The sequence below is a fragment of the Homo sapiens genome, chromosome 14 (assembly GCF_000001405.40).
Source record: "Homo sapiens chromosome 14, GRCh38.p14 Primary Assembly".
In the NCBI taxonomy this organism is placed as follows: domain Eukaryota; kingdom Metazoa; phylum Chordata; class Mammalia; order Primates; family Hominidae; genus Homo; species Homo sapiens.
In genome coordinates this window covers 23,172,892-23,192,168 of record NC_000014.9, presented here as the reverse complement: position 1 = coordinate 23,192,168, position 19,277 = coordinate 23,172,892, and the positions used below count along the sequence as shown (strand labels likewise).

Genomic DNA, 19,277 nt, shown 5'->3' with positions numbered 1-19,277 from the left:
GGGTCAAATGGTATTTCTAGCTCTAGATCCTTGAGGAATCGCCACACTGTCTTCCACAATGGTTGAACTAGTTTACAGTCCTACCAACAGTGTAAAAATGTTCCTATTTCTCCACATCCTCTCCAGCACCTGTTGTTTCCTAACTTTTTAATTAGAATATTCTTGAATGCATGGCCTGAAAGGGCAGACTCTGTAAAATCCTCCTTTGGAAACAAGAATTTAGATTTCCAATAATTTACAGTAACTGAATAAAATTTATCTTGAAAATATACCTTTACTCTCCCAAAGATTCAATATACAATGAATATCGAATAAGTATGTATTTGTCGAGTGCCTTCTATATGCCAAGAACTGCTCTAGGCCTTAGGTAAATAATGGTGAAGAAACAAGCAAAGGTTTTGTTTGTTTTTTATTACAGAAAAATTTAAACATATACAAAAGAAGACAGTCTAATGGACTATTACCCATCATCCCACTTAAACAATATAAACTCAGCCTTTTCACTGGTAACCTATCCTTCCCTCTATTCTTCCTCCTATGTTATTTGAAACAAATCCAAGATATCAGATTATTTCATCCATAAATATATTGGCATATATATCTAAAAGATAAAACTTTTTAACAATAACTGTAATATCATTACCCCCTAGAAAAACCAACTAACAACATCAATAGTTCAGAGCTTACATTTTAATAGGAAAGACAAACAAGGAACAAACAAACAAACAAATTATGTTAAGTAATGGCAGATATTATAAAAGGCAAGGTACAGGTGATGGGATGGAGGTGGACTTTCTTGCTTTTTTTTTTTTTTTTTTTTGAGACAGGGTCTCACTTTGTCGCCCAGGGTGCAGTGCGATCTCGGCTCACTACAACCTCCGCCTCCAGGGTTCAAGTGAGTCTCCTGCCTCAGCCTCCCAAGTAGCTGGGACTACAGGTGTGCACCGCCACCAGCCCTGGTTAATTTTTGTATTTTTAGTAGGGATGGAGTTTTGCCTTGTTGGCCAGGCTGGTCTTGAACTCCTGACCTCAGGCGATCCACCCACCTCGGCCTCCCAAAGCGCTGGGATTACAGGAGTGAGCCACTGCGCGCAGCCTGCGATGGACTTTCTATTGGGTGGTCAGAGAAGTCCCCCTTGAGCAGGTGATATTTGCAGAGGGATGTGCATGATGTGAGAAAGGGAGGACACCCCCAAGACGGTCTGCAGGAAGACTGACCCTGATGGAGGCTTCAGCTACTACCAGGCCCTGAGGCAGAGCTTAGTGTTCAAGGACTAGGAAGGAGGCCTATGAGACTGGAGGACCACGTGAAAGGAAGAGAAGGGTATGAAGTCCAAGTGGCCACCAGGACCTCCAGGTTTGATTCTAGTTAGCTGTGACAGGCAGCGTTGGAGGGTTTTGAACAGGGGAGGGACATGACCTGATCTGTGATTACGAAGGATCATTCTGGCTGCCGTGTAGAGAATAAAGTGTAGGGGAACATTTGTAGGAGAAACATGTGGAAATTGGGAGACCAATTAGAAGGCTATTGAAACAGTGTAGGTGAGAGCTGATGGTGAAGCGGTGATGAACCAGGGTGGTAGCAGTGGAAATGGTAAGAAGTGATCAGTCTCTCGATATTTGCGAGATTTGATTTGAAGCTACAGCTAACAGGGATTGGCTGACAAACCAAATGTAGGATATATGAGAAAAAGATAAGTCAAGGTTGACTCCAAGATATTTTGGCCTGACCAACTAGCGCCATTTACTAAAGTGGGGAATACTGGGCAAAAATCAGGTTTGGAGCGGAAAGCACGCACTCTCTTTTGGGCATATTAGGCTAGAGGTGCCTATTAAACACCCAAAACAGAGACATCAATTAGGTGGTTAGATAGCTCATTCTAGAGTTTATGCAAGAGATTAGGACTGGATCTATAAATTTGGAAAATATCAGTATAGAGTTGCTACTGAAAGCCATGGGACTGGATGACATCACACAGCTAGAGAGGGAGGATAGAGAAGAGAAGAGATTGGAGAAGGAAAGGATCCAGCCAGGAGCCTAAAAAGAGACAAATGAGGTTGGGGGAAGCCAGGAGAGTGGGTGCTCCAGAGCCATTAGCTGGCCACATGCTGCCGTAAGATCAATAAGATAAAGACTGAGAAATGATTGCTAGATTGGACCACCGGTGGTCCAACTGATAGAGTAGATGTTGGTGACCTTGACAACAATGGATTCCACAAGGTGATGGGGACAAAAGCTTTGATGTGGTAATTCCAAGTACCAATGGAGATGAGGAAGTAGAGATGGGAGCAGAGAAGTTGGGTGGTAGCTGAAAGGAATAGAGCATCAAGGGAAGTTCTGTTCATTTTTTCACATATTTTCAGATAAGAACTCACTCTGTTGTACAGGCTGGAGTGCAGTGGCATGAACATGGCTCACTGCAGCCCCAACCCTGTGGCTCAAGCAATCCTCCTACGTCAGCCTCCTGAGTTGCTGGTGCTACAGGCATGCACCACCACACCCAGCTAATTTTTTTTTTTTAATTTTTAGTAGAAACAAGGTTTTGCTATATTGCCCAGGCTGGTCTCAAATTCCTGGACTCAAGCGATCCTCCCGCCTTGGCCTCCCAAAGTGATGGGATTATAGACGTGAGCCACCCAGTCCGGCCTGTTTGTTTTTCAATGGGAGTTATTACAGCACATCTGTATGCTGACAGGAATAATCCAGGAGACAGTGAAAAACTGATGATGTAGGAGAGAAGAGAATAATTTCAAGAGCAAAGTCTTGAGACTTTGGGAGATAGGATAGGGAAGCTAGTGCACAAATAGGGGAGATACATAGGAACACAGACAGCACATTCATTTCAATGGGAGGGAAGGCAGAGGATGTGGGGAGAGCTGCAGGTAGATTGACAGATTTAGTAAATGGAGCATGGGGAAGTTCTCTTCTGCCTATTCCCATTTTCTCCATGAAACAATAGTCAAAGATGTCAACTAGAAGCGAAGATTTGGGGTGTGGTATTGGTTTGAAGAGAGGAGCAGGTAATTGGAAAGGTCAGTTAACTACAAGATTGTGGTAGGATTGCTGGCAGTGTTAAGGGCCTGCTTGAGATCTGTGCTCTGTATAAAATAATCTTCAAAGTCAAAACCTTGATTGTCTTTTTCTTCTCTGTGTTCCAGCCCCTGTACAGGCACCAACAGCTACATCTTGCTACAATTAGTTGGTATATCAAGGAGTCATTTGGTAATTATTTTATTTATTATGCATTAATGTACATCAACATTTATTTATACATTAATTCATTCAATCAATCATATTTATTGAGTGCCAGGCACCATTTTAGGTACTGGGGTTACAGCAGTGAGCAAAGCAGGTCTTTGCCCTCAGGGAACTTGTCATCTACATCTTTAAAAACCTGAGGCCCAGCACAGTGGTTCACACAGTGGCTCCCAGCACTTTGGGAAGCTGAGGCTGGAGGAACTCTTCAGGCTAGGACTTTGAGATCAGCCTGGGTAATGCAGTAAGACCTCATCTTTACTAAAAATTTTTTAAAAATTTGCCAGGCATAGTGGTGTGCACCTGTAGTCCCAACTACTTGAGAGGCTGAGGCAGGAGGATCACTTGAACCCAGAAGTTCAAGGTTGCAGTGAGCTGTGATCACACCACTGCACTCCAACCTGGGTGACAGAGTGAGAGTGAGACCCTATCTCTAAAAAAAAAAAAAAAAACCCTAATCTTTGTCAAACATAATGAAAACCAATTAAGAAGGGGAAGTTTCCATATTTAAGTATTCAAAGCTGGAGTCACTTAAATCCTGAGAAAGAAGACTGTTAAGGCCCCATGACAGATTGGACCCAGCAAAAGAATCAAGAAAATGCGGAGATCTGGCCTGCCACAGGCAGTGCCTCTTTATTTCTTTCCCACTAGTGCTGGGCTGGCTCCATGGAATCCCACCAAGTGCAGCAGACAGAGGAGTAATCTGTTGGAATTTTTGTCTCTGGTGTCAGAGCAAGGATTCATCATTATCTCCAGAAGAGCTGAATTAATTAACCATCATAACAAAGCAGGGTCAGCTGCATCCAAATTCTCAGGACTGCATAAACCCTAGAAGACACAACTTCCTTTGAACTTATGAATATGCCCAAAAGGCAAACAGAGCATACACTAAAAAGGGCTTAATCACTGACCGAGTCTCCTCATTTCATCTTCCTTTCTTTCTGACCTATTTTGGCCTTTTCTTTTTTTAATTTTTTCTTCTTTTCTCATTAATTTTCATCTGCTTTTCATTTTCTAATGAAGTAAAGGCATCTAAAACTACTGGCTCAGGAAGGCCCCATCTAATCGACCATAGGCAGTGATCCCTGGGACTCTGGGAAGAAAGTTGGCTTTAATTTAAAGCAGGGTTTCCTTCTGCTTTAAACTAAAGCACATAGATATGGGGCACATAGTTACGAGAAGAAGGATGGAGTGAGCGCATGGACTGTGAGTTGACTCCAGGGAGAGATTTGGGTCCTTTGTTGGTAACCTCAGACTTCCCAGCTCTGTTACAAAAAGCAAGAATAAAGTGCTGTCTATTGGATCTAGAAAAAAAAATCAGGAATGGAGTGCATGAGCTTTGTGCTCTATTCCTTTGCATTAGCAGACACGTCTAACTTGTCTCTGAAAGGGAATATTAACCCGGGTGTGGTGGCGCACATCTGTAGTCCCAGCTACTCGGGAGGCTGAGGCGGGAGGATCACTTGAGCCCAGGAGTTTGAGGCTGCTGTGAGCTGTGATTGTGCCACTACACTCCAGCCTGGGTGACAGAGTGAGACCTTGTCTCTAAAAAAGGGGGGAGTAGGGGAATATTAGAACATGACTGCGTGGGGGTTGTGTGTGTTTGTGTTTTAACTATCACAAGCAGCATGTCCCAAGCCATAACCTTTTCTGTCCAGTAGGTGTCAGCTACGCACAGCCTTTCTCTTTCTAAATCCATATTTGTAAGAAAACGGCCTTTCATCCATAATTTTCCCTAGTTAAAGGGATCAATTTCTTCTGATCTGAAGCACGCAAAACAGCTGAAACAGTGGCTCCGATATTGGAAACAGAATTGTACTACGTACTTGGGATATGGCCACACTGAGGACTGTGCGAAGGGGGTGACAAATGTTGGGGGGGCCCAGGTGAAGTCCTGTGGGTCTCACTGAGCAGATAAGTGTTAGGATCAAGGTGAGTCTCTAAAAGGCACAGTTAAGACACCAAAGCAAAAACACAGAGTTTCCCTCAGGTGAAAGAAATTGAGGCTTTGACCAGTAGCTATAGCATCCTGAAAAAGTGCTCAGTGTAAACTATCAATCTCCCATTTGCCCTCAAATAGACTGTCTTGTTTTTTACCTCAGGTAAAATATTTCTTTAAGCCTCAGGTTTCTAATTTTTAAAATCTTTAAGATAACTGCCTCGTCTGCCCAAGATACTACATGAGGAGGAAAAAAATTGAGATATTGTTCAGAAAACCATTTGTGGGCTATAAAGCACTATTTAAACGTAGAGAATAGAATAAAAATATAAAGGCAAATGCAGAATAGAGTAATCCCAGCACTTTGGGAGGCCGAGGCGGGTGGATCACAAGGTTAGGAGTTCAAGACGAGCCTAACCAACAGGGTGAAACCCCGTCTCTACTAAAAACACAAAAATTAGCCAGGCATGGTGGCAGGTGCCTGTAATCCCAGCTACTTAGGAGGCTGAGGCAGGAGAATCACTTGAACCTAGGAGCCAGAGGTTGCAGTGAGCCGAGAGCCGAGATCGCACCACTGCAGTCCGGCCAGAGCAGCAGAGCGAGACTCCTTCTCAAAAAAAAAAAAAATGCTCAAAATTTAATAAACATTAGTTTGTAATTTTTTACAGATTTTTGTCAACATATTACACCAAGGCTTTTCTTTCTCTCTTGTGTTCAATGTTAGTCACCTGGAATTTTGACACACTTAAGAGTTTATGTCACAAAAAGATTCCAACCTACAGAGAGGCACTTAATATAAATAATGCTCCCTTTGAAAGTGGGGAGATTCCTTTCCTAGCTTTGTTTGTTTGTTTGTTTTGGTTTGGTTTTTTTAAAGACAGGGTCTCACTTTGCCACCCAGGCTGGAGTGCAGTGGTGCGATCTTGGCTCATTGCAGCCTCAACCTCCATGGCTCACACGATCCTCCCACCTCAGCCTCCTGAGTAGCTGGGATTACAGGCGTGAGCCACCACACCCAGCTAATTTTTGTATTTTTTGTAGAGATGGGGTTTCACCACATTGCCCAGTCTGGTCTTGAACTCCTGAGTTCAAGCACTCCACCTGCTTCGGCCTCCCAAAGTGCTGGAATTACAGGCATGAGCCACCGTGCCCAGCCCCTTTCCTAGATATTACATCGCACCAGTAATCAATGGTAATAAGCCACTTATAAATTCCAAGTGCTAAAGAAATAGAAATACTAATCTTCAGCAACTCTTCCTTTCCAACGTGTGCACCTAGTACCGCTGTATTCCAAGAACGTATTTGATCCCATAACCCCCTTAGCTTCTTAGTTCATAATTTGAGAGGGCTAAAGCTTACCATATCGTTATCAGTTTGCACTGGTTTTAGCAAGAGACCTCAAATTCATCACATTCATGTTTTATCCCACATTAAGTCTGCATCATATAAATTAGAACTACCAAATATTACTGAAAGAACTCACGTTTAAGAAGCAGAAACATTATTTGTTTTATATGGTGATGTTGAAATCGGAGCAGAAGTCTTCAAATCTGAATGTATACAAATGAATCTATCAAATTTTTCCTCAGTGCTTTCTAAGGTTGTCAGGAAAGGCTAGAGGCAAATTCGACATTTTTTCATTTCCCATGACTCATTCCCTCCCATGGAGTTTCGTGCTATATATTCCCTGCCTTGTCTGGTTTTTTTTGTTGTTGTTTGTTGTTTTTTTTTTGCTGAGTCTTTCAATTTGCTGTGTCTTGAACTAGCAAAAGGAGGAGAGGAAGTTCCTCCCAACCTTTGAAACCTCTTAATACTTGCTGAGTGATCAAGGGGGCAGATGACTGCTGATTGGACTTTACCCCATTTGAAAAAGCTTTTGCTATGATAGCTCAACAAACCTCATTTTAAGGAATTAAGTATTTATTTTCCTTAAAACCCAAAATCTTTTGGAACATTTTCCAGAAAGTGAGGCCAAATTTTTGTAGTTAGGGGTCAGTTTGGGGGAACTTAATTTTTTAGGCCCACTTTAAAATTAAATAATTTTGCATAATATATTTAATAAGGCTAAAAATAACTTTATTTTAGACTTATAGTGTTGTCCACTATATTGCTTCATGCTGTTTTTTCGAAATAATTTACAATTATAAATAGACATTGTTGCTCTCACCTTAAGGCAGCAGTTTCTGAGTGAAATTCTTCAAGAAAGTGGAGGCATCATTTCGATATGGTAATAAGCTAGTTATTCTAACATCAACAAGTATGTTTCATGATCAGCGATATACTGATAATTCCCCATGTGTGCTTTTCAAATAGTTTATAAATGCAAAAATATTAGAAGTTGCAGGATCAGGGTTTGAGTCATTTTTTTTCATGTTTCAGCCAGTCCTAAATAAGAGCTGTGAACAACAAGGCTACCTGGTGATTTTGTTTTTTATCTTTTTGTATGTGCATGTGGTTTTTCTGGCTTTTTGTTTTGTTTTGTTTTTGAGACAGGGTCTTGCTCTACCTCCCAGGCTGGAGTGCAGTGGCGTCATCATAGCTCACTGCAGCCTTGACCTCCTGAGCTCAAGCAATCCTCCAGCCTCAGCCTCCTGAGTAGCTAAGACTACAGGCCTGCACCACTGCACCCGGCTAATTTTAAAATTTTTAGTAGACGGGGTCTCGCTCTGTTGCACAGGCTGGTCTCAGACTCCTGGGCTCACGTGATCCTCCCCTGTCAGCCTCCCAAAGCGCTGGGATTACAGGCGTGAGCCACCGCGCCTGGCGATTTTGTTTCCTCTGTACTCTTCGTAGCTCACAATTACGCTAAAAGAACCTTTTTCCCATTGTTAATTCCTTCCATTTCCCTCCCCCACCCGTCGATTCCCCCTATTTTTAGGAAACTCGAAGATGATGTCCTTTCAACGTTCTCTCCTGTATTCTCAAATACAGGATCCAGTCCTAAATATTTTTTAATACATTGGCTAGTTTATTTCTGATGGCATTAAAAGTATCGGCACAACTGTTCCCTGATTTATAAAGCTCACAGATGCTGTATGACCTGTAACATTATACTAGCTAATGAGCTCTCCCGGAACAGTTGACGTGGAAGGAGTTTACTTCCACTTGGTTGCAAGGAGAAAGATGGAGAAAGCGAGAGACGATTGCAAAAAGAAATAACTTAGTCCATTTTCTCAGTGCTGTTTGGGGGCTTTGTGCTAATACTTAAATTGCAGAGGAGGGAGGAGACGGGACTGAGGATGGAGGGGAGCAGAGGAGGCAGGGGCGGAGCCTCGGCGGGCGAATAAAACCCCTCGCTAAAGAGAAGCACGTTAGTGTGTGGAGAAGCCACTCTCCCGAAACCAGAGGGATGGGGCCGGCTGTGCAGTAGAACGGGGATCGAAAAGAGGAAAACAAGGGCACGAAGACCAGCGAGAAAGAAGAGGACACCTGGGAAAGGCGGAAGCAGAAGACGGGGAAGGGAAAAGAAACCCAAAGCAGGTGGAAACCAGATCTAGAGCAACACCGTCAGGTTCACAGTTTGTTTTTCTAGAAGAGAAGAAAGTACCTGAGGATTGCTCTTTTTTCCTACCGTTAATGAAAACTACTTTTGTCTTCATCATAAAAGAAAAAACTAAGGGGAGGTAAAGGCAGTCTCCTGTTTTATTAGGGGGAGAGGTGAAGGGAAATCCAGGCTCACTTTCTGAATAAGCCACTGCCTGGTGCACAGAGCAGAACCATCCTGGTTTCTGAAGACACATCCCTTTCAGCAGAATTCCAGCCGGAGTCGCTGGCACAGTTCTATTTTTATATTTAAATGTATGTCTCCCCTGGCCTTTTTTTTTTTTTTTTTTTTTAGCAACACTTTTCTTGTTTGTAAACGCGAGTGACCAGAAAGTGTGAATGCGGAGTAGGAATATTTTTCGTGTTCTCTTTTATCTGCTTGCCTTTTTTAGAGAGTAGCAGTGGTTCCTATTTCGGAAAAGGACGTTCTAATTCAAAGCTCTCTCCCAATATATTTACACGAATACGCATTTAGAAAGGGAGGCAGCTTTTGAGGTTGCAATCCTACTGAGAAGGATGGAAGAAGGAGCCAGGCACCGAAACAACACCGAAAAGAAACACCCAGGTGGGGGCGAGTCGGACGCCAGCCCCGAGGCTGGTTCCGGAGGGGGCGGAGTAGCCCTGAAGAAAGAGATCGGATTGGTCAGTGCCTGTGGTATCATCGTAGGTGAGTTCCATTCCTTCCCGCGGACCCCTCCTCTCCCCTCTGGTGGTCCTCCTGTGAGATCTTAACCCTTCGAAAGCATTATTGTTCTTCCTATTCCTTAGAAAAGGATTGTCAGTCACCTGAGCTGTAACTCACCTCCACTGGTCAAGTTTGAGAGGCATAGGAAATACATCATACATCTCTTCCTCCAAACCAGGCAAAGATTCTGCCCAGTGTTCATAGAATGGAGCAAATCGTGGTCAGAAACCCGGCTGATGATTAGCATTGCCTGGGAACTCCTTAAAAATACAGGTCCTGGTCTCGACACTTGGAGGTTCTAGTTCAATAGGTTTAAGGAGGGACTGAGGGACCTGAACAAGTTTGTATGCAGCTATTATTCCCAGGCTGGGGATGGGCTTTTAAGGTATATTTGGTAGCTATTTTGCAGTTTTATGTTAAATGAAACTATGGGATAGGTATTAAAAATAGCAAGAGCAATGCCCTGCCTTTTTATTTTAGCGTTTTCCACCTTATGCAGCACTTTTACTGTGTGAAGTAGCTGTGACAGGGCTGTTATTCCCATTTCACAGATGGGGAAGTTATGGAAGAAAAGAGGGGACAGATTGTGCCTCTCGGTAAGTGGAGAGTTTGCAGTTTCTCCAGTTGCCTGGTGGGGTCCACCTGTTTCTTAACAGCCACGGAGGACCCGGTGAAGCTCTCAGAGGGAATCAGGAGTAACTAGAATGTGTAGAATATGGAGTTGAGGAGGAACTGATGGGTAAAATATGTGTCCTAGCTGGGAGGTGCTGAAGGTGGGGAACCTGGGTGGCCCCAAGAGTGCCAGTGCAGGCCACTCAAACCCCCTGAATGTACTTTGCAGGGCAGGAGTCCCAAATACAGCTTCGTCTCTAGACAGCACATCCTCTTTCCAGAGAAGCCTTGGAGATGGATGGCAGGCAATAGCTCACTATTCCTGCCCTCACTTCAGAGTGAGAGATTGTTCTGCTATCTTTGGTAGGGGGCTTTACTTTCTTCCCAGAAAAAGGAGTGCAGGACGGTCAGGCATAGATATGCTTCTTTGTCATCTCTCCAGAGTTCCTTTATGAGAGCTCGTTGTGTCCTGGTGCCCCTGAACCAGTTTCTCTGGCTGACGCCATGTTCTATGCAATAGCTCAGAGATATTTTGGCATCTGAGCAATAGTGACACTGGAGAGCACTCTTGAAATCAAATAAAATCAGTGCAGTATTCAGATAATCCTCTTCACCTCTACACCCAGAACTTCAGTGACCAAGCTCTCTTCAGTCTCTAAAATGAAATCCCATCCCCCCCCCACCCCCACCAACTCCTCCTACACCCTGGAATCCTATTTTATGTGATTCCCTGACTCTGGGAAGTTTTCCAGGCCATCTACAGTTATAAGAAAGATAATGTTATAAGAAAAATTGTAGTCATGATCTGAATCTCTCTTTACTTTTTCTCATGACATTTTTTTTGCCTCTCCTTTACTTTATCTCAATTGTTCAAAAGAAATGAGAACAGCCAAGTATTCAGTATGTATAGCACATGCCAGTTTAAGGTCTATAAATAGCCCGTTCACCAATTTGACTGACAGAATTAAGCATTTTCCCCCTCTAGGAAGGTTCTGACTTATACACAGATGCGCACGCCCACAGGCACACAAGCACAATTAAACATCCTTCCTGCCTCAGCCTGGCTCGCCCTTCCCAATATAGGTTCAGGTATTCTTTTTTTTTGTTCAGACGGAGTCTCGCTCTGTGGCCCAGGCTGGAGTGCAGTGGCGCGATCTCGGCTCACTGCAAGCTCCGCCTCCCGGGTTCACGCCATTCTCCTGCCTCAGCCTCCCGAGTAGCTGGGACTACAGGCGCCCACCACCACGCCCTGCTAATTTTTTTTGTATTTTTAGTAGAGACGGGGTTTCACCGTGTTAACCAGGATGGTCTCGATCTCCAGGTTCAGGTATTCAAGGGTAGAGGGTATTTTCCTATATACTGATGTTTTTGTCTCTTCCTTTAACATCTTTTTCTAAGATTATGAAGAAATGGGAGTGTTCAGGTATAATAAGTACAATTTCTGTGGGTATATGTTACTACTGATTTGTCCACAACCTTATGGATGGTACTTCAATGGGAGAATAATCTCAAAGCTCCCCATGGTGGCATTACAGTAACTAGAATGGCAATTCTGGTGTTCTGTGATGAAAAGAGATTCCAAATATGTGATTTCAGAGAAATTGGGATATTTTTGCAAAACATGAGAATCCTTGTAGAGTTAATAGGCACTATTCTACCCCAACTTAAGCTAGAAACAAATTTCCCCTTTAAGATGATAACAGGGGACAAAATCCATTCTGCTTCCCCTCCCGAGTTGCTGTTGAGTCACAGATGTGCTGAGGAACTGCCCTTTCCTCTTCTGGAGAAGTTTCTCAGTGGATGATCGTGATTCAAGTGTTTTCAAGACCAAATGCAAAAATAGAAATGGCATTTTCTGTGTAGATTTCAGGGATCTGGTGTCCAATGTCAACACTGCAGAAAAAAAGAGAACTAAAAGGCAAAAAAAGGGCCGGGTGCGGTGGCTCACACCTGTAATCCCAGCACTTTGGGAGGCCAAGGCGGGCGGATCACGAGGTCAGGAGATCAAGACCATCCTGGCTAACACGGTGAAACCTCGTCTCTACTAAAAAATACAAAAAATTAGCCGGGCGTCGTGGCGCATGCCTGTAGTCCCAGCTACTCGTGAGGCTGAGGCAGGAGAATTGCTTGAACCCAGAAGGCAGAGGTTGCAGTGAGCCAAGGTTGCGCCACTGCACTCCAGTCTGGGTGACAGAGTGAGACTCCATCTCAAAAAAAAAAAAAAAAAGTCAAAAAGAGAAAGGAAGTTTTCTAAGTGAATCAGGAGACATGTTATGGAAAAGTAGAATTTGTCCCATCTTTCTTTCTTTCTTTCTTTTTTTTCTGAGACAGTGTCTCGCTGTGTTGCCTAGGCTGGAGTGCTGTGGCGTGCTCACTGCATCGCTGCAGCCTCAAACTCCTGGGCTCAAGCGATCCTTCCACCTCAGCTTCCTCAGTAGCTGTGACCACAGGCATACACCACGACACCTAGCTATTTTAAATTTTTTCTTGTAGAAACAGGGTCTCACTGTATCGCCCAGGCTGGTCTCCAACTCCTGGGCTCAAGAAATCCTCCCACCTCGGCCTATCAGTGCTGGGATTACAGGCATGAGCCACCGTGCCCGGCCCCCAGATCTTTTTTTTTTTTTCAGGGACTGTGGCAAAGTTACATTTGCCCTAAATCTATCTCTCTCATACCTTACTGACTAAGAGGGATAATTTAAACTACATGTTTTGTAAAATTTCATTCACAATCAACATGGATGATTGAAAGCAAGGATAACAGAATGGTAGGTGTTATGGAAATATACAATGAATTAATAGAAGACTTATGCCAGAGAGTTCCTTATATCCTGATTGGGAGGATGAGATGCATATGTACTAAACAGAGAACATTCAAAATTAATGACATGGTTTAGTTGTGAAAGAGCTAAAGTAGGGCAAAGTTATGTGAATGGTGGGAAGCCAGGAGAGAGAGGTTCTTACTAAGAACTAGATTAAGAAGCATCTTGAAGGCTTTGAGGAGAAGATGAAGTAGGGGAGCTGATTCTGGGAGTTTTCTTAGGTAAAAGCATAATGACTAAACTGTTATTTCCTAGATCAAAGATTGTGTCCGTAAAAAAAAATTGAACTATGAGAAAAATTGAGCCAGGTGTGGTGGTGGATACCTGTAGTCCCATCTCCTTGATCATTTTAGCCCAGGAGTTTCAAGCCAGCCTAGGCAACAGAGCAAGACCTCATCTTCATTTTTTTTTTTTTTTTTTTTTTTTGGAGACAAGATCTCACTCTGTTAACCAGGCTGGAGTACAGTGGTGCAATCATAGCTCACTGCAGCCTCGAAAGCAATTCTCCCACCTCAGCCTCCCAAGTAGCTTAATAATTTTTAAAATTATTTTTAATTTTTTTTAGAGACAGGGTCTCCCTATGTTGCCCAGGCTATCTTGAACTCCTGGGCTCAAGCAATCCTCCTGCCTCAGCCTCCCGAAGTGTTGGGGTTACACGTGTGGGCCACCGTGCCCAACAAAACCTTGCCTCTTAAAAAAAAAAAGCAAGTGTCTTATATGTTTCTGAATCTTTAGTGTTTAACAGAATGCCTGCTAAGGAATACTTACTCAAATGATTGTTGAATTTAACCGACTCTAGGACAAAAATATGAATAGGAAACATTTATCTGCAGGGCTGCTGGGAACCTGGCTTGAAAATCTTTAAGCTAGGAGTAGTTTTATCAACCTGGACAATTAGGTTGGCCCATTTTAATCTTTTAACATCATCCTTGTCCTAACCTAATCAGGCTTTTGTTCTCCATGTACTTGGCTAAGGAAACCTGTTGGCAGCATATTAATTTAGATTTCACCATGAACGTGGAGTTCCCCCCAAAGTCGAAAGAGGGTGCGGAGGACAGCAAAGTTCATTTATTAATGATACCAGAGCTACTGTTAATAGCTGTGTTTATTAAACACTTAGTATATGCCAGGTACTCATCCAATTACCTAACATACCTGAACTTATTTGTCATTCACAGTAACTCATTTGGTAGACACTTTATTACCTCTTCCTCCAGATAGGAAATAAAGGCTCAAAGGGGTAAGCAACTTTGCTGAAGGTCACACAACTAAAAAATATTGGAGCTAGGATTCAAACCCAGAGCTTGTCTGCATCCTGAATCAAGCTTGTAAGCATTATTCTTCACTATTTCTATTTTTATCTCCTAAAGGAGTATTTTCTTTTAGAATCTGGACAGAGGTCCTTATTCATTTTTATAGATGAATGAATACTTATTGTATAGCAATTAATTTTGTGTTCCCAGTGAGGAAGACTCCCAGTATAGCAGGGGAGCTGGGCTGTCAGCTGGGAGTGGAAGAAAGTAATATTCCCGGTGCAATTGCAGGAAGACTTGGGTGAGCCTGAGGGGCATCTGGCCAGCACAGACCATGCTCGCATTCATTCCTGCACATGCACACCTTTCCTTTATGGACCAGTGTTCTTCCCAGCCGTGTTAGAGGTACCCACAGAGTTCCTGGCCATTTAGGTACTTTATACCAGTCACGTATCTAGGTATGTAACCAGAATCTGTGTCTTGAAGGCATTAAAAGGAAAACCTTAAACAAATTAAATTTAACAGTGTTTAATTGAGCAAAGAACAATTTGTGAATCAGGCAGCCTCTTGAACCAGAACTGATTCAGAGTTTCTGGGGCAGCCTCATGGTCGAAGAAGATTTATGGGCAGAAAAAGGCAAGTGACATACAGGAAATAGAAGCAAGGTACAGAAACAGCTTGATTAGTTACAGCTCTACATTTTCCTTATTTGAACAAGGGTTGGACAGTTGGCTGCCTTTGATTGGCTGAAACTCAGTGAATGGTACAAAAGTAGGTTACAGTCTATTTACACATCCAGTTAGGTTACGTTTCACTACATATGGAGAAATCTTTAAGTGGAATTTAAAATATGTAAGGAGGCAGCTTTCAGCTAAACTTAACAAAGGTGAAAAAGCTGGCCAGAGAGCTGTAATAATAAAATTAAAAAGTATATAATGTCAGACCATTTTGTTTTCAGCACAATTTATGTTTTTGGGGGATCTTGGTATATTTGCTACAGAACAATACTGGATGCTGATCTAGCTACTAGACCACTATCTCCCAACTAACATGATTTTTTAAAATAGTATTTATTGAGCTCTTACTAAATCCCAATTTTTTTTTTTTTTTTTTTTTTGAGACAGAGTCTTGCTCTGTCGCCCAGGCTGGAGTGGAGTGGGGCAATCTCGGCTCACTGCAACCTCTCCCTCCCAGATTCAAGTGATTCTTCTGCCTCAGCCTCCTGAGTAGCAGGGATTACAGGCGCGAGCTACCACGCTCAGCTAATTTTTGTATTTTTAGTGAAGACAGGGTTTCACCATGTTGGCCAGGCTAGTCTCGAACTCCTGACCTCAAGTGATCTGCCCGCCTTGGCCTCCCAAAGTGCTGGGATTATAGGTGTGAGCCACCGCGCCCAGCCTAAATGCCAATTCCTGAGCTATAAGCTCTTTACATATATTATTTTATTCAATCTTCCCAACAATCTTAAGACAGTACTTATTATAATTACCTGTACGTTAAAAATGGGGAAATTGAGTCACAGAGCTGGTAGCTAATTTTCCTAGGGTCACACCACTGATAACTGAGATGACTCCATAGCCAGAACACTTAGCCATTTCTCATTTCTAATTGGTAACCAAGACAGGAGGAGGCTGATATATATTGCATGGTGGGGCAGTTGGCCATGGAGGAAGACAACCCTGAGACTGGAGTCCAGAAAGACCACGGATGTCTGATACTGAAAAAATTGGGGGAAAAAATTTTAAGGGTTTCTGTCAACAGAGAGGTGTGGCTATGGGTATAACTGTACTGAAATGGCTCTGGACTGACTTGGAAAAATTTCAAGTATAAAAGATCTCACACCCATGTGGTCTATACCACTTTAGAAGATTTTGCATTTTAGTCTCTAATATGATGTATTAGCTTCTAATCCCAAAAATGTCTACTGGATGTTGACCAGAGGGAGGGAGTGTGAAAACTGCTTCTTGAGTTTGTACTTCAATTAAAAAATACAAATACACTCACACAAAACATAGAGGGATTACGATTTGGTTCATTCAGGATGAAAATGTGATTAAAACCCTCATTGTTCTCAAATAAAATTCTGGGACAGAAGCCAGCTAGGAGGTATTTCAAAACAAACACATCTTGGTGAGTAGGGAAAGGCTATATGCCCAGCAATGTAATAATAATAAGTAGCTGCCATTTACTGAGCATACATTGCTAGGTGATGGTAGAGCCTAGATTCCCACCAAGGTCACTAAAATCTGAAGCAACTGGGCTTAACTAAAATGCTCCTCAGTCTGGAGTGCAAGGTGGCCGGGACCAGGGATCCTGTTGGACACTTCCTGACTCCAGGAACCAGAGAGCTAAAGGAGTAATTTGGTTGAATCTGCTACTGTCAGGGCGATAATACATTCCCTCAAAGAGCAGAGTTACGCAGAATGACTGACTAGCAGGAGATGCTTAGAGTGGAGGAAAGAAAGTAGGAACCCGGCAGGTAAGAAACTATGTCCAAGAGACACACCAGACAGCCATTTTAAACAGTCACAGTTAAAAACACCCTGTACCGGCCGGGTGCGGTGGCTCACGCCTGTAATCCCAGCACTTTGGGAGGCCAAGGTGGGTGGATCACTTGAGGTCAGGAGCTCGGGACCAGCCTGGCCAACATGGTGAAACCCCATCTCTACTAAAAATACAAAAATTAGCCAGATGTGGTGGCAGATTCCTGTAGTCCCAGCTCCTTCGAAGGCTGAGGCACGAGAATTGCTTGAACCCAGGAGATGGAGGTTGCAGTGAGCCAAGTTGCACTACTGCTTACTCCAGGACTCTGTCTCAAAACAACAACAAACAAACAAACAAACACAAAACACCACTGTACCCAAACCAAATAACCTTCTCAAGAGCGGCCAGCACCATATATACACTTTTCTGAGTTAAATCAGCTTATTGAAGTGGGGTAGAGGTGTGGGGCATCTTGGCTGGGGCTTCTCAAGTTGCCAGGCTACTGAGGTTTTCTGTCTTTTTGATGGGTAATCCAGCAGCACAGCTGCCTTCAAAGAAATGCCTCAGGAATGTCTGTTGTTGTTTTGTTGTTATTGTAGGAGAGGGAGATGGATCTAGAAAAGCAGGCACATGCAAATGATCCCAGGAGTATATCCCAAACTACAGAAAATAAGAGCCATTCAGGAACCCAGGGGGCTAGAAACTGTTTCTTTCCAATGTTTAACTCCCCGCTGAGCATACAGAGCATGGAGGACCATGCCTTCTTTCCCCTTCCAGAACGCGTCTACAGAGCAGGCCCCCAGATCCCTTCTCCCTGGAGATCTGGAAATGGCAAACTGCAGGCTCCTCTCTGCTGCAGGAGTGGGAGCAGCTGGACATAGGATTCAGAATTATTCCACATTTTAACAAACACTCACCGAGCACATTATATTCTAGGCCTTGTCCTGAGCACTGGTGAATTTTATTTCTAGGAGGCAAAATAATCCCTCAAGTCTATTTTAAGCTGTTTTATTTATAGAATGAGTGAAGTTTGAGCTGAAAAGCTCTATTGATCACATCTCATCCCTCATCTTTGTCACAGTCACATGTCTTCCCATTGGTTTGCTCCCTGCTTTAAATATCCTCAGCATTAGCAGTGACATCACTTCTGGGGAGAAGGTTTCACAATGTCTGAAGGTGGACCAGGCAACCTCACACTGAACTGCACATTGCAAAAGCAGATTACTCAGAAAGAGTACCACTGCTGCAGAATTATTACTTTTCTCATCTGTCTCCACGTTTTAAAGGTGCTTGTTTGTACATTTAGGAAATGCACAAATACTTCAGTGCTTTTTAAGAGTACAGTTCTGCAGAGAGTGTTTAGTAAGCAGCTGATAAAGACAGGTCAGGTTGACTTAAGGTGGTATTTGGACCCTGATATTGAAAGCAGAAAGTTTAGAGTGAATTTTTCCATGATTTGCATCGGCATGCCATAGACTGGGAGGAACCACTGATTAGAAAAAGATGGGCTTTAGAGATAGTCTTAAGTTTGCAAACCGCTTCCCTATTTACAATCTTTGTAATCTTGAGCAAGCTAATTATCAGTTTACTTAGCTGTGCAATGGAAGTTTCTTGTGGAGTATTTAAACAAAGCTGGCCAGGTGGGGTGGCACATACTTGTAATTCCAGCACTTTGGGAGGCTGAGGTGGGAGGATCACTTGGATCCAGGAGTTCAAGACCAGCCTGGGCAACACAGTGGGACCCTGCCTCTACAAAATATTTAAAAATTAGTCGGGTGGGGTGGCACACGCCTGTGGTCCCAGCACTAGGGAGGCTGAGGTGGGAGGATTGCTTGAGCTTGGGAGGCAGAGGTTGCAGTGAGCTGTGATTGTGCACTCCAGCCTGGGTGACAGAGTGAGACCTTGTCTCAAAAAAAAAAGTAAAAATTTAAAAAATAAAACAAAGCCCTTGCACTCCTTTAACTCGAGGAGAGAAAGAAATGAATATTTATTGGAAGATACCAGAGTGCATCAGTATGTTGTAGAATGGGGGGAACCATTGATGATTAGTGGTTCCCACCCCCAACTCACAAACTCAATAATTTTGGTTCTGAAATTTCAGTTGGACTGATCCAGTAAGAAGACTGACCATTTCAGGCCAAGTCTGATCTGCTTAGCAACCAGCTGGTTGCTTTTCCTTTTCTCTTTGCTGAGCTGAGTCTACTCACTCATCAGCATCAGTCTGACACTCCCCTCTCCCAGGAAGACTTTTCTGAACAGCCCATGCCAGTGATTTTTTTTCCACCCATTAAAATCTTGCCATATATTGCAATAGCCCTCATGCAGCTTCTGCTCTGCGTGGTGGTATCAGTTCTGTGTCTGTGCACATGTGTCTTCCCTTTCCACACAGTTCCTTGAAACCAGGCACTGTGTCTCACTTTCACATCCTATAACCTAGTACATGGTGAGTATTGAATAATAGCAGTCAGTCAAAAACAAATCATTATTCAAGATTGCCTCACAACGATGTGAATATACTTAACACTGCTAAACTATAGACTTAAAAATGGTTAAGATGGTAAATTTTGTTACGTGTCTTTACCACAATGAAAATTTTGTTCTGTTTAAAAATGAGTTATTCCCATGAATACTACATTTTTGGGCTTAGCTTTAAAAAAAAAAATCATCCAGGCTCAAATTTGAA

The 19,277-nt window shown here is 43.0% G+C and overlaps 2 protein-coding genes across 5 annotated transcripts in view; one reads left to right on the top strand and one right to left on the bottom strand.

Annotated features, from left to right (window-relative positions):
- RNF212B (ring finger protein 212B) overlaps positions 1–6,833 on the bottom strand; it is an 88,142-nt gene extending 81,309 nt beyond the window's left edge. For all 4 annotated transcript variants that reach the window (NM_001370218.3, XM_011536323.3, XM_011536316.3 and 1 more), the window contains exon 1: positions 6,679–6,833. The gene's annotated coding sequence lies outside the window, so the exon portion shown is untranslated. The remainder of the gene's footprint in view (positions 1–6,678) is intronic.
- A 1,675-nt stretch (positions 6,834–8,508) lies between these two features.
- The window catches only part of SLC7A8 (solute carrier family 7 member 8), a 58,366-nt gene continuing 47,597 nt past the window's right edge, over positions 8,509–19,277 (top strand). Inside the window, exon 1 of the mRNA NM_012244.4 lies at positions 8,509–9,405. Within this exon, the coding sequence (NP_036376.2) occupies positions 9,255–9,405 (151 nt within the window). The 5' untranslated portion in view covers positions 8,509–9,254. The remainder of the gene's footprint in view (positions 9,406–19,277) is intronic.